This window comes from Homo sapiens, chromosome 8, assembly GCF_000001405.40.
Source record: "Homo sapiens chromosome 8, GRCh38.p14 Primary Assembly".
Lineage (NCBI taxonomy): Eukaryota > Metazoa > Chordata > Mammalia > Primates > Hominidae > Homo > Homo sapiens.
In genome coordinates, this window is record NC_000008.11 from 128,778,439 (window position 1) to 128,792,098 (window position 13,660).

General features: G+C 38.4%; 1 annotated feature.

Moving 5' to 3' along the window:
- Nucleotides 8,805-10,004: an enhancer, noted in NCBI's record as "CDK7 strongly-dependent group 2 enhancer chr8:129799489-129800688 (GRCh37/hg19 assembly coordinates)". NCBI's record gives its function as "activates an origin of replication core promoter dependent on BRD2, BRD4, P300/CBP, MED14 and CDK7 cofactors, with strong dependence on CDK7, by STARR-seq in HCT116 cells {active_cell/tissue: HCT116}" and the evidence as "EXISTENCE:reporter gene assay evidence [ECO:0000049][PMID:35650434]".

Below are 13,660 nucleotides of genomic sequence, written 5' to 3' on the forward strand. Positions count from 1 at the left end.
AAACTTCCTTCTGGGGTGGAAGAAGGAATTAACCTCTGAATCCAGCTACAATATCTCAATAGTCATACACCAGTTTCTTTACATATTTACTATATGTAAGACAACTTGAGAGAAACTTTCCACAAATTACCTTATTTAAACCTGCTGAAAACTCCACAAGGTAGATTATTTTCATTTTACATATGGGAAAACTAAGGCATAGGTAGGCAAGAACAATTTTCCAAAGCCACGCAGCTATTATGTGTTGGAGCCAGAATTTTAACTGAGTTTGCCTTACAAGAAGAGTTTCTCAGCTTCAACACTATTAAAGTTTCGGTTCAGATAACTCTCTATTGTGGCGACTGTCTAGTGTATTGTTGGATATTTAGCAGTATCCCTGACTTTTACTCACTAGATGCCAGTAGTGCCCCTTCCCCAGCTTGTGACAACCAAAAATACTCTAGACATTGCCCAATGTCCCTTAGGGGTAAAATGGTCCCAGTTCAGAACCACTGCCTTACCAGAAAGTATCCTACTCTGCCTGAGTCCAATGGTGTCATTTCTGCTCTTTGCACCCAACATTAAACACTTGTAAAGTCTATACTCATCATGAAGAATTTCCTTCTTTTCACTAAACATTTCCTTCAGCAATATAAAAAGCCTGCACTAGTTCTATAATTTTTTATTATTTTAACTAATTCTTCAAGAAAGTTTAGGAAGCCCTTCACATTATGGAAAAGTGAGTTCAAAAAGGATGATGTTCCATAGTTTACTGCTGTTATTATTGTTGTTCAGATCATTATTGATCATCTCTCCTATTGTCATTTTTGTTTTAATGTAAAAATAACCAGACATGACTTAATTTTACAGTAACAACATCACTTCCCATCTGATTTGAGTTCAATAGGGATCACCGTAGATCTGCACTTGGCTGTGCATTTGTCATACTGTGCCAGGAATAAGCTTCTTTCCTTGTCTGTCCACATTTGGCTGCAGAATCTTTGCTCCATTATCAGTCTGTGTCTACCTTTGTCTGGATAGCTATCTATAATAATATACGAACTGTTTTAACCTCATAAGTTAGTAAAGAGAGACAGAATATTAGCTGAGAATGATAGGGTCACACTATGAAATAAAAAATATAATTTGTTAAACAGTCAATGAAGACAACCTTACTTATGCAACTATCTAAAATATAAAATAATGGACACTTGGTGTTAATTTTTGCTTTTCCTGACCAAGCAACTTGAAAAATATTTGATCGAGAAAGGTGTCTTAGTCCATTTTCCATTGCTATAACAGAATACCACAGACTGGGTAATTTATAAATAATAGAGGTTTATTTAGCTCATGGTTCTAGAGTCTGGGAAGCCTGAAAACATGGCAGTGGCATCTGGTGAGGACCTTGTGCTATGTCAAGATATTGTGGAAGGCATTCCCTGATGAGACAGGACAAGCATGCTAGCTCAGGTCTCTCTTTTACTCTTTATACAGCCACGAATACCATCATGGGGGCCACACCCTGATGACCTCATTTTATCTTAATTACCTCCCAAAAGCCCCGTCTCCAGATTCCATCATCATATTAATCTGGGGATTAAGTTTTCAATACAAAATTTGGGAGACACATTCAAACCGTAGCAGAAGTCTCAGAAGAATGCCTCTGGTCTTTTCTTAAATGTGCTTTAAAAAACAAACAAATAATAATAAAAAAAAAACCTGAATTCCAAGACAACCACTGATGGTCTTTTGGGACACAATTTATATACATCTTTTTCATGATGAAGATCTTAAGTATAGTAAGATCTAGGAAAAATTAAATTGGGGAAATCAGACCACATAACATCAAACATACATTTCTGACAATTTTATACACTGGACTGTCTCCTTCTCAATAGAAAGTCTCATATATTTTTTTTGCTCAGAGTGGTAACCATCATGTCCTGAGAGGTGAGTCCCAACATTCATGCACTGGTGATCACAAGTTACTCTCCGCTGGCTATGACAAGTCCTACTAAACTCTGTCTCAAAGCTGTGGCAGTGCCAGTCAGTTCTTACCTCAAATAGCCTCATGATTTCAGTTTACTAGTCCAACATTCACTGAGCATTTTTGTAGAAGCTGAGAAGACATAGACTGATATAATATGGTCTCTGACCTCAAAGAGCATTCAGTCTGATCAAAACTGAAATAAAAACAGATAATTAAAAGTGTTTAGCCAATGTGATGGTGGAAGAAAGGATGGAATGCTGAGGGGTCCAGAGGAAGACATTCTCTTACAAGCCCTGAGAAGAAATTTGAGGAAGTTTTGAGGATTCTGAGGAGAGTCTAGAAGGACAAATGAGAGTTGGAAAAGGAAGGGGAGACAGAGATCCCAAAGGCAGTAACAAGTAAAGGTCAAGAGTATAATGAAAGCATAGTGCTGTGAGAGCCACAAGTAAGATAGAGAAAAGAATGGTGGTAGTGGGAGAGTGACTGCCTCAGAGGAAGCTAGGTTTTAACTGTGCTGTTTATGACTTCATCCCTGGTTCTTAGCATTTAGAAAAATGGTTTTCAACCTTGGCTGAATATTGAAATCATCTGTGAAACTTTAAAATATAACTGATGCCTATACCTCTACCCACAATTTTTTTAGTTGATCTGGAGCAAAGCATGAATATTCCAGAAAATAAATTCACATGACATGTTCCAAAATGGCGGAGTACTTAGAGTACTAGTTGTCTGAGATGTAAGAAGTAAAAAGTTTCTCTTTCTCTCTCTTCCTTTCTCTTTCCCTCTCCCTCTCACTTTCCATCTCCCTCTTCCTCCACCCTCTTTTTCTTATTCTCTTTCTCACTATCAGAAAGCACTTTAGCTCTAAGAACTCTATTGCTGAAAATCACTATAGGTTTCAGAACATTATTTAAATTTGTAAAAGGACAGAAGTGAAGAGCTATACTATGTATAGATTTAAAAGTTCAACAAAATATATTTATTTAGTCAATTCAATCAATAACTAAAGAGAACTTTCTGTGGTTCTAGTTACTCCTCTAGGCTCTCAGAATACAGGGATAAACCAAAAAGCCAAAAGTTTTCCTCTCTCATAGCTTTGATTTTAGTGGGAGATTCAGAAAACAAATAAACTAACAAATATATACTATATTGGATATTTTAGAAAAAGGTCTTGAAGAAAAATAAATCAGGAGTGAGGGAAAAGATAGTGACTGCAAATGTATTTCAGACTGGAATATCAGAAATATCCTCTAAGGAGAAGACATTTAGATAAAGTCTTAGATGGAGTGAAGGACAAGTCTATGACAGTATATGAGAGAAGATAATTCCTGGAGTAAGAACACTGAAAACAAATTCCCTAAAGTTAAAATTTGTTTGGCACATTTAAAGACTAATGAAGCCAGAGTGACTGGATACAGTGAACAAGGGAACAAGTAGGAGGAAGTGAGGTTGGCCATAACACGAAGGAACTTATAGGTCATGGTAAGATATGGATTCTATCTAAGCACGCAGGAAAGCTAATAAAAGATTTTGAGCAGAAAAGTGACACGAACAGATAAAATTTTAATGGATTACTTGGTTTTTTTATAATAAAAAATGGAATGAACTTTACCAGATAAGAGTAGAAAAGAGAGACTAGATAAAAAACTATTGCTTTGGTCTAGCAAACAATGACTGGTTGTGGAGTAGGCTAGGGAGATATTAAAGGAGATGGTGAGAAAAGGTTAGTCTTGGGTTATAGTTAAAAGTTAGAGCCAATGGGTATAGCTATTTGATGATGAATTTGAAAATAATATAGGAGGAGAGCACCTTTCAGTGTGGGGCATGAAGAGGTTAGTTTCGGATAAAGTAATAAGTAATCCTTGATAGGCATCCAAGTAAAGATGCCCAGTCACAAGTTAAATATCTGAATGCAAACTCCTAGAGAGATCAGAGCTGGAAGAGTAAATTTTGGAGTTATCAATTTGATAGATAGTGTTAAAAATCATGGACTTATATGAGGAGGAGGTCTGAAAACTGAATCTTGGAGTCTTTCAGTGTTTAGAAATTGAGAAAGTGAGAAGAAGAAATTGAGTGTAGAAGACTGGCAATGAAGCAGAAAGAAAACTGGGGGATGTAGAATCCTGGAACCCCACTGTCAATTGTTACAAAAAGGATGAAGAAGATGCAGACTAAGAATTAACCAATAGATCTTGGGATATAGAAGTCATTGCCTACCTTGATAAGAGTGAATTAAATGGAGTCAGAGTAATGAAAACCTAATAGGAATGAGTGTAAGAGATAATAGGAGAAGTGAAAACCAAAAGTATACACAAGTATTTTGTGAAAAGGAGCAGTATCTTGAGTAAGACTTGTCTAAAGGGAGCTTTTTGTCATTGCTGTTTATTTTATTTGGGAAGATATAATAGCATATTTGTATCCTAATGGGAAAAATTCATTTAAGAAGGAAAAAAATAAAGATACAAGGAAAGGAGATAAAGTGAAACTACAAAGACCTGTGTAGGCAAAAAGCATAAAATCTAGTTCACAAGTCTAGGAGTTGGTCTCAATTGGAGCAAGGGCTGTTCATCTATTTTAACAGTAGAGAAACAGAGTGCTTAGATGCTACTAAGGTGGTAAATATGTTAGTGAAAGGACTGGGAAATTCTCTTCTAATTGGTTCAATTTTCTCAGCCACAAAAAGAGAATAAAGTAGTTGAGTGCAGATGAGAATGGCGAGTGAATGAAAAGGTGGCATTTAAATGAGTTAATTTAGAATTGCAGAGGAACACCTGAGGTTCTCATGAGGTGAATGTCATGTTCTGTCATGTTCAGCTCCTGGAGTATGGGGCCAGAGTATGAGCAAGATTTTAATTTCACCAATGTGAGGTCTTGCCATTTGAATATTGTGGTAGGCAGAATAATGGCCCCATTAGGATGTCCATGTCCTATCTTCAGGAATCTGTGATTCTATTAGGTTATGTAACAAGGCAGAATTAAGGTTGCCGATGAAACTGACTTGTCAATCAGCTGGCCAGAAATGGAGGAGATTATTCTCTGTTATCTGACTTGGGCCAACGTAATCACAAAGATAACAAAGATGCTTATAAGTGAAAGAGAGAGGCAGAACAGTGTTGGTGTCAGAGTTATGTGATGTGAGAAAGACTTGATCACTCATCGCTAACTTTGAAGATGGAAGGAATGCATCAGTGCAGGCAGTCTCTAGAAACTGGAAAAGTCAAGGAAATGGATTCTCCCATAGAACCTCCAAAAAGGAACATAGCCCTGCCGACACCTTGATTTTAGCTTGTGAAACCCATGTATTTTTAAATTTCTGACCTACAAAATCATTAGGTCATGAACTTGTATTAAGCCACTAAATTTGTAGCAATTTATTATGCCAGCAATAGGAAACTAACACAAGTACCCTGGCAAGAGAAAAGCAAGCATGTGATTATAATGCCAGAATATTGGTCTAATATCAGATTGCCACCTGCACCATGCATTAGAGTTCCCAGTGAGGTGCAGGCATTTTAGAAAGGGAGTGCTAGAGAGTCAGAGCTGAAAAGACAGGAGGTGTCCATCAGACAAAGGAGATAATAGAAGCTGAGACTGTTTTCTTTTGTAAGGGAATAATTATAAGTAATAGTCAGATCTAAATCATGACCATAGGTTTGGATAAGTGTAGGTGGCAAGGAGAATAAGATCAGGAAAAGAAGATGGGCTACTGGATAGATCCATGTGCAAGAATATGAAAATCACCAATGAAGATGACAGCAGTAGTAATGGAGAGAAAATTTATGAGATATACTTCTCCTAGCAGGTATCAAGACTTACTTTAAAGCCACATTAATTAAAACTGTTAATTATAACATCAGTAGAACTCAATACATTGCCCAGAGATATACCCCTGCACATAAAGAAGTTATTGAGGTGACATTACAAATTAATAGGTGTAACAGGCTTTTCAAAAATAAAACAGGGACAGTGAACACTCGATTTTTAAAAAAATAAATCTCAAACTCATGCCATATTAAAATATGTATTCCAGATGATTTGAAAATTGAAGCTCCAAATGATAGAACACTTTAAAAGAATTTGAAAAAATACTTATGTACAGTGTGTGTAAGTGTGGGGGGTAGTGTATGTGTGTGTATGTGCACTTATGCATATTTTATTATTGGAAAAGATTCTTGGATGAGATAGAATATCTTACCTTTCAATAAGTTGGCCCTATTCAGTTGAAAAATAACATTCTTTTCTGGTGGACCAAAACTCTGAGTCTATGATGAAAAAAAATAGCTATATACATGAGGGGGATGTGACAAAGCATTTTCTCACCTCTTTTTTTAACCAGTGGACCTATCTCATTTCAAAGAGCAGTGTGAACACAACAGCCATAAATGGTGATTCTTTGTTGAATTGCTGAAGTTTTGCAGTGTATTAGTTTGTTCCCACACTGCTGTACATAAATACCTGAGACTGGGTAATTTATAAAGAAAAGAGGTTTAATTGGATCATGGTTCCACAGGCTGTACAGGAAGAATGGCTGGGGAGGCCTCAAGAAACTTACAATCATGGTGGAAGTTGAAGGGAAGCCAGCATGTCCTACATGGCTGGAGCAGGAGGAAGAGAATGAAGTGGGAGGTGCTACACACTTTTAAACAGCCAGATCTTGTGAGAACTCTATCATGAGACAGCACTAGGGGGATGGTGCTAAACCATTAGAAACCATCTTCATGATTCAATCACCTCCCACCAGGCCCCACCTCCAACATCAGAGATTACAATTCAACATGAGATTTGGGTGGAGAAACAGAGCCGAAGCATATCATGCAGCAAGTGAAATTTCCTTCAATTTCTGGCAAGAGTTTGAGAGTCCTGTATTAGGGGCTTTTCAATGAGTTTTTGTCTCTATATATCATCAGAATTACTTTGAGAGAAGACAGAAGAGAGTATGTCAAGGTCTCATATCATAGTATTATTTTAGAGCAGAAATACTCTGAAATGAATCTTGGAATAACCAGGGGTTACCCAGGTGAAGACAGGGATGTTGGGTGAAACAAAGGCATCTGTGAATTATCGGCCTGGATAAAAAGGAGGAAATGATGGTGGATGGGCTGATCCTTAGACAAGACCTATTGCCTCTTTTAGCCTTGGTTAATTAAATGGCAACATTTCTGGCCTCACCTAACCTACAAGGTTGTTTTGCGGGAGTCAAAATCGCTTTGGAAAATCACTGGTAAAACATGCTCACTGTTTGCAAAACAAGCACCTGGCACTGTGGTAGAAACCAAGATGAACAACACCTACCACTACCCTCAGCAGACATCCATTAGAGAAGTCGGACCTGGACAACTTTGCCAGGTAGCATTAGGTAAAGTACGAAATGAAAAGAATGTCATTAAGATAATGAATATGAAAGCTCTTTTTAAACCAAAACTCTTTCAAATTAAGGAACCATGATAAGTGATCATGATACTGTTATTTGTGCCAGCTGGCTGGAACATGGATATAATCTATAACATCTTTCTGTACTCTAAAATATCAAAAGACAGTCTCTTGAAAAGTTAGAAAATATAAGTCAGTTGCGTTTGGGAGTCAGGCCCAATAATGCACCTCACTAAGACCCCATGAAGGGAAGAATGCTGAGATGCCCTCATCTAGGTCAACCATACCAATTTCCCCTTTTGAAATATTGCCCTGCAAGAAACAAAGATCAACTTGACTGAAAACAGATCTGTAAATTTGCAAGGCCAAAATAATAATTTTATGAAAAGCCTTAGTCATCCTATTCAAACCACTAAAGTTTAAATAAAAATATCATATCAGTGCATCAGACATGTTTCTTACTCAGCAGTTAGCCCCTCACCCCCCTTTCACTTGGGCCAAAGGGACAATCTGTTCCCAACAGCCTGAGAAGTCTTTTTGTCATTTTGCAAATTTGCAAAAAAGACACCAAGTTCTTGGCTTTGTGAGAGAAGAGATTGTGGTGAAAATTTTCACACATTTTCCTCTCCTTGCATAAATTTTCAGTGTTGCACTATTCCAGGGTGGCAGGGAGTGAGGATTTGAGTAGAAATGCTCTGATTCTATATTGGCTCAGTAGTTCAAGCCAGATTACCTACTTTCATTTTACTTCAGTTTAGTAGATTCACAATGGGTCTACATAACAGTTTCAAGGACTGCGGCTGAAATAGTTCCTTGACTAAAAATCACATCTTCCCAATAGGATTGTTAACCTTCTTAGGGACAATCCTATAGCTTATGCTTATTTTAGTTCCTTTCCCTTTGCTTGCCAAGGTCTCTGTGTACGTATCGCTAGGGTTTAATGATGCCATTTGGCCGATAAACAGTGGTTGCCATTTGTATGATGTTCAAAGCACTAGGGAGTATCACCTAATTACTTACTCAGGCTGACTCCCTCTAAGATTAACCTGATAACTCCCCAGGGTAGGTAAGAAAACTGAGGACTGAGATGCCCAGAATCTTGTCCCATGACCAGTTGTCTAGTTTGAGCAGAGAATCTAATTCTTTGCCTGTTTCTCTCTTTTCTCTTTTTTTAACCTCTCCAGATCCTATACTTTATCAAAAACAAACATATCTTCAATTAGTTCACAGTTCCCTTGCTTTTTCTTTCAATTTCTTTGATTTTTTGAAAGACATTTTTTGTGCAAGTCACACAGCAACAAATCACATTCTGCCTTTGACACTTTTTCAGTTATTGACTTGTTATGTAATAACTTTTTAAATGTTCAATATTTGGCTTTCTCCTGAAGATAGAAATCACGTCTTTTTTGTTTATTCTATATAACTTTGCAAAGTACTTGACAAATAATAAATATTCAAAAGTATTTATTGTTTGATAATATAGTCTTCTTTATTAACCCATGTTGAAGGACCTTCGAGCTGGTAACAGAAGAGAAAACTGAGTCCTACTGGCTTTCCACAATTCCCTTAGCCATGTAAGAAATATAGACATGGACTGGAATCTCCATCTTCTTACTTTCAACCCAATGCTTCTTTTATTAATTCCAATTGCTTCTGCAGTGAGTTAACCTGGTAAGGTTAGATATTTGCGGTTCTCTGGACTAATTCTCTGTACCTTCTGCTTCGTTAGATAAATACAAGGGAGATTTTTGGATTTGTCCTCGGGAATCTAGTTCTGATAATACCCATCATTAGGCTAAAGAAAGCTGTCTGCATCCAAAGACAGCTCCCAGGGTCAGGACACTGATACCCTTGGTTGTCTGAATACTGAGAGATCACTGGTGGACTCAGCTAGGGGCTCGTCAGACTCACTAAGCTGACTAGCAAGGCCCTCATTGTCTTTTTCAGCAACTTTGGCCCACAGCACTCTGATAACCAAGACAGGCAAGGAGAGATGGACGAGTCAGAGCTGGGGAATCCACAGCCAGGGGCCATATGGAAACGTTTGGGGATTAGAATCTGTGCCACATGTTCTCAGCTCATTCTGAGTGAGACATGTATACCCCTGCAGTGAAGAGGAAATGGTCTACAGTGACTCACTTCGTAGGAAGCAAGCATGGCTTGAGTCAAACCAGCCTCATCTGCATTACTTTCCGGAAATGGGCAGCTGTAACAACTCATCACAAATTAACCAAGGAACATGTATCCAGTACCATTTGTCCTAATAAAGCTTATTTTGATGGACTGGAGAAAAGAGAAGCTACCTTAAGTAAAGAGTGAACAAAGTATCCTCCCATCATAATGGGTCACTATTATAAGCTAGGTAGTTTGCATACTTATTTTCTTTAAAACATCCCTATAAAGTGGGCATTATCTCCATGTTACACATAAGAAGTCCTAGGACCATCAAGATAAAGAATCTATATAGAAGGTTAAAAATAAGGAGTGACAAGAGTGGGATTTGAACCCAGGTCCATTTCTCTGGCTCAAAGTGTGTGAACTTTCCATTTTCTTGAAGATGTGCCAGTGTCCAATCAGAAATGCAAAATTGTAAGTAATATAAATACATATATAATAAGGGATTCATTACAGGGATTTGACCTGGCACAATTGTGGGGCTGGTGAAGGAGTTTCTATAAGGTTCTTGTCTTTTCATCCAATGCTGCACCCTGAAGCCCATCAGGGAGAGAAGATGGATTAAAGTAGGAGAAACAAGGGCAAGCTGGAACCCACAAGGATGGGCCGAAAATTGTGTCAGTTCTTGCTACCTCTGTCCTTGAGGGTGTGGGTGTCTTATAGGAGATGTTGGCACTTTCATCACAGGGCTAACCATACACCTCTGGTCCAGGAGAGAGAGAAGTTGAAAAAGAAACCAGAGGAAGCTGGAGCAGCTTCCAGTCCAACTATTGCCCCATGCTGACAAAGTGAGCAAACAGGTAAGTGACATCCTTTGTCATCTACAAAATGGTGTTGGTACCATTAAAATATTGCTCAAGAATCTCTGCTGTGGCCCACGCTGTCCAGAAACGTGCTAGAAAAGGAATTCTGGGAAATGTAGTTCAGCTGAGCCAAGCTGACACATTGTAAAGCCACCATGATGTATTTGTGATAACAGGGGTGTGGTTTGGTCCTAAATATCTTAACCAGACCACATTGGAATCCCATAAACTTGATGTCCTGGTAGCTCTTCCTGAATCCTGAATTAAGTCCTGAATACTTTTACTTTGTGTTGTAAATGGTTTCTTTTGTTTTTCAGCCCTGTTTCCAATGTCCCTGGCTCCTGTCTGCTGCCTAGAACATTGCACATAAACTGTTCTATTTCTCTTCTGGTGTTCATCTCATTTTTCCTGTTAAGTTCCCATTTGCTCTGGGAGATAGTGGTTTGGGACTATTATTATTACTGTTGTTATTGTTATTGTTAGAGGGGTTGGTTCCTGAGAGACGTTTATAACCAACTCTGTATGATGCTGTTTGCTTTCTCTTCCCATTCCATGAAATAGAGAAATCCAGCAAGGAGAGAATGCAGTGTCGCTCCAGGGGACCAGTTTATACAGAGGAGTACAAATCCCACTTGTACTTCACAGAGGAACAAGTTTAAGATACGGCTTTTGTAAACAGACCCTTGGATCTCAGTAAGGGGATTTGAAAAGTCAAACATGCTGGGGCCATGACTATAAAAGTAAAATTACAAGGCTCAGGACCCTTTCCAGAGACAGGCTTATTTCAAACATTGCTATCTTGTAGGTGTTATTCTTAGCAGAACACGGGTTCGTGTCAGCTTTCCTTTTAACATCCAGCTGGGATGGGAGTCATGCAATAGCTTCATTAGGCTGCTGAGGAGTTCATTACCACAAAGTCCTGATTTTTCCTCAAGTCTTAGCATGACCTCTGAACCCACCCCTTTCTCTCATACATTTCTTTGTGGATTTGTTTATGTAGTCAGTAAAAATGAATCAGGTGCTTTACTGTGCCAGGCATTGTGCTGGTCCAGAGAATGCAAAGATGGATAAGACAGAGCCATCATCTTCAAGGACTTACAAATAAGATAGACAGAAGGTAATCCAACACACTTACTGTGCTACAGAGGCTACAACAGAAGTCTGGATGAGGGAACCATGGGAACACACAACAGGGAAAGAATAATTCCCCAGAGATGAAGAAGGGTGTAGTTCAGCCTTCATCGAGGAGGTGGACTATAGGCAAACACCTAATGATTGGACAACCTTATTGAATCAGACAGATCTCATACTCTGAAGCCTTCTGATTAGGAGTTTGGGGTTCTGTCCTTGTGCTCTCAAATCTATGGCGATGCGATATACCTATGTTTTCACAACTGCCTTTTCTCATTACCCTCTACTACTCTTCTGCCTGAACTTAGTAACGTTATAGGAAGGGCAGCTCAGCAAAGTGCCTGTGTTCAAATCCTAACCCTACCATTTACTACCAAGTTACCCTGAAAATGTATTTTAACTTCTTTGTGCTTTGATTTCTTCAGATGAAAAAATCAACCGGGCGTAGTGGCTCATGCCTGTAATCCCAGCACTTTGGGAGGCCAAGGCGGGTGGATCACGTGAGGCAAGGAGTTTGAGACCAGCCTGGCCAATGTGGTAAAACCTGGTCTCTACTAAAAATATAAAAATTAGCCAGGCGTGGTGGCATGCATCTGTAATCCCAGCTACTCAGGAGGCTGAGGCACAAGAATCTCTTTAATCAGGGCAGCAGAGGTTGCAGTGAGCCGAGATCATGCCGCTGCACTCCAGCCTGGGAAGTAGAGTGAGACTCTGTCTCAAAAACAATAAAGAAAGAAAATAAAAGACGGTGCCTACCTTATAAGGTTGTTGAGAGGATGCATGAAAGGTAAATGCAAGCACTTAGAATATCAATGGCATCAAGCAAGCACTGTAGAAATGTTTATTATTCATAACACATTTTCCTCTTAAATTTCATGTAGAAACAAAAGCCATATTTTAGAATTAAACTTTCTACTATTCTCTTACTTCCAAAATTGGAAAATTTCTAAGAAGTATTCTGATTTGGGGCAAGTCACATGGTATCTTAGGGCTCAGTTTACCCACCTGTATAAATTATTAACTCAAAGAGTACCTGCTATGTGTCAGGTATTCTTTAAACTCTTCATAAACACCATCTCATTTTATTCTCACAACCTCCCTCAATGAAGTGAATTCTGTGTTTACCCATGTTTATTTTTTATTTAGTTATTTATTTTGCAAATGAAAAAAATGCGATATAGGTTTCTATCTCCAGAGACGATGAATTTAACCACTCCACTACCCTCTTTCTGGGAGAGCTAGACTCTGTCTTTTTTTTTTTTTTTAAATCCTACTTAAGGGGTTCTGTATGTAATGATTTATATCTAATTTACACCATAATGGCTTACATTATTCAATCATCAGAACATCATCCCCCTTACACACAAATGTTGGTATTTTTGTCCTGTTTTATAGATCTGTAAACTAAGACAGGTTAAGCTGGCTCTCTGTAACAAAGTTAATGACTGAGAGATACCATGTTTGCACCTCGGCTTGTCTCAGTGCAACACTAGCATCTTCATCCACTGACTTGTACTATTTATCTGCAGGTAGGGGACAGTGTAGGGGGAGTGATCATATGCACACACATCTCCAAACAATTCTGCCAATAATCTCAGGAGACTTACAAGTCCTCCAAAGGCCATTTGTAGTACCAGTTATGCTATCATGGAGTCCCCTATAATGTGCTTTAATTTCAACTGTTATATAACTTTAGCCAAAGAACTTTTGTTAAGCTTTACTCTACTGATTTTGCTAGGAAAGCAAAAGGCATATTGGTGATGATATCTTCAAAGTTAGCCCAGCTTTCTTTAAGAGATAAGCCCCAAAGCTCATCATTCCCAGTCCTTCCCTAATATTGCTGATCTCTAGTCAATCTGTTTAGGTTTACAGCCCTTGGACTAGATGAAATCTAAAGGTGTTTTAGACCATAAATTTTTGTTTCTCGAACTATAGGATTCCTCCATGTCTAGTGCATTAATCCTCCACCTTAGCTGTACCATGTTTACATCCAAAGAAGACCTCCTTCCTATATTTTTAACTTTAGATCAGGGGTGTCAGTCTACAGCCCACAGGCTAAATCTGATCTGCTGCTGTTACATTTTTGCTTTTTCTTTTTTAAATAAAGGATTATCATATTGAAAAACAGTCACTCTCATTTGTTTATGTATTGTCTATTGGTGTTTTCATGCTACAATGGCAGATTATTTGTGAAATAGACCGCATGGCCAAA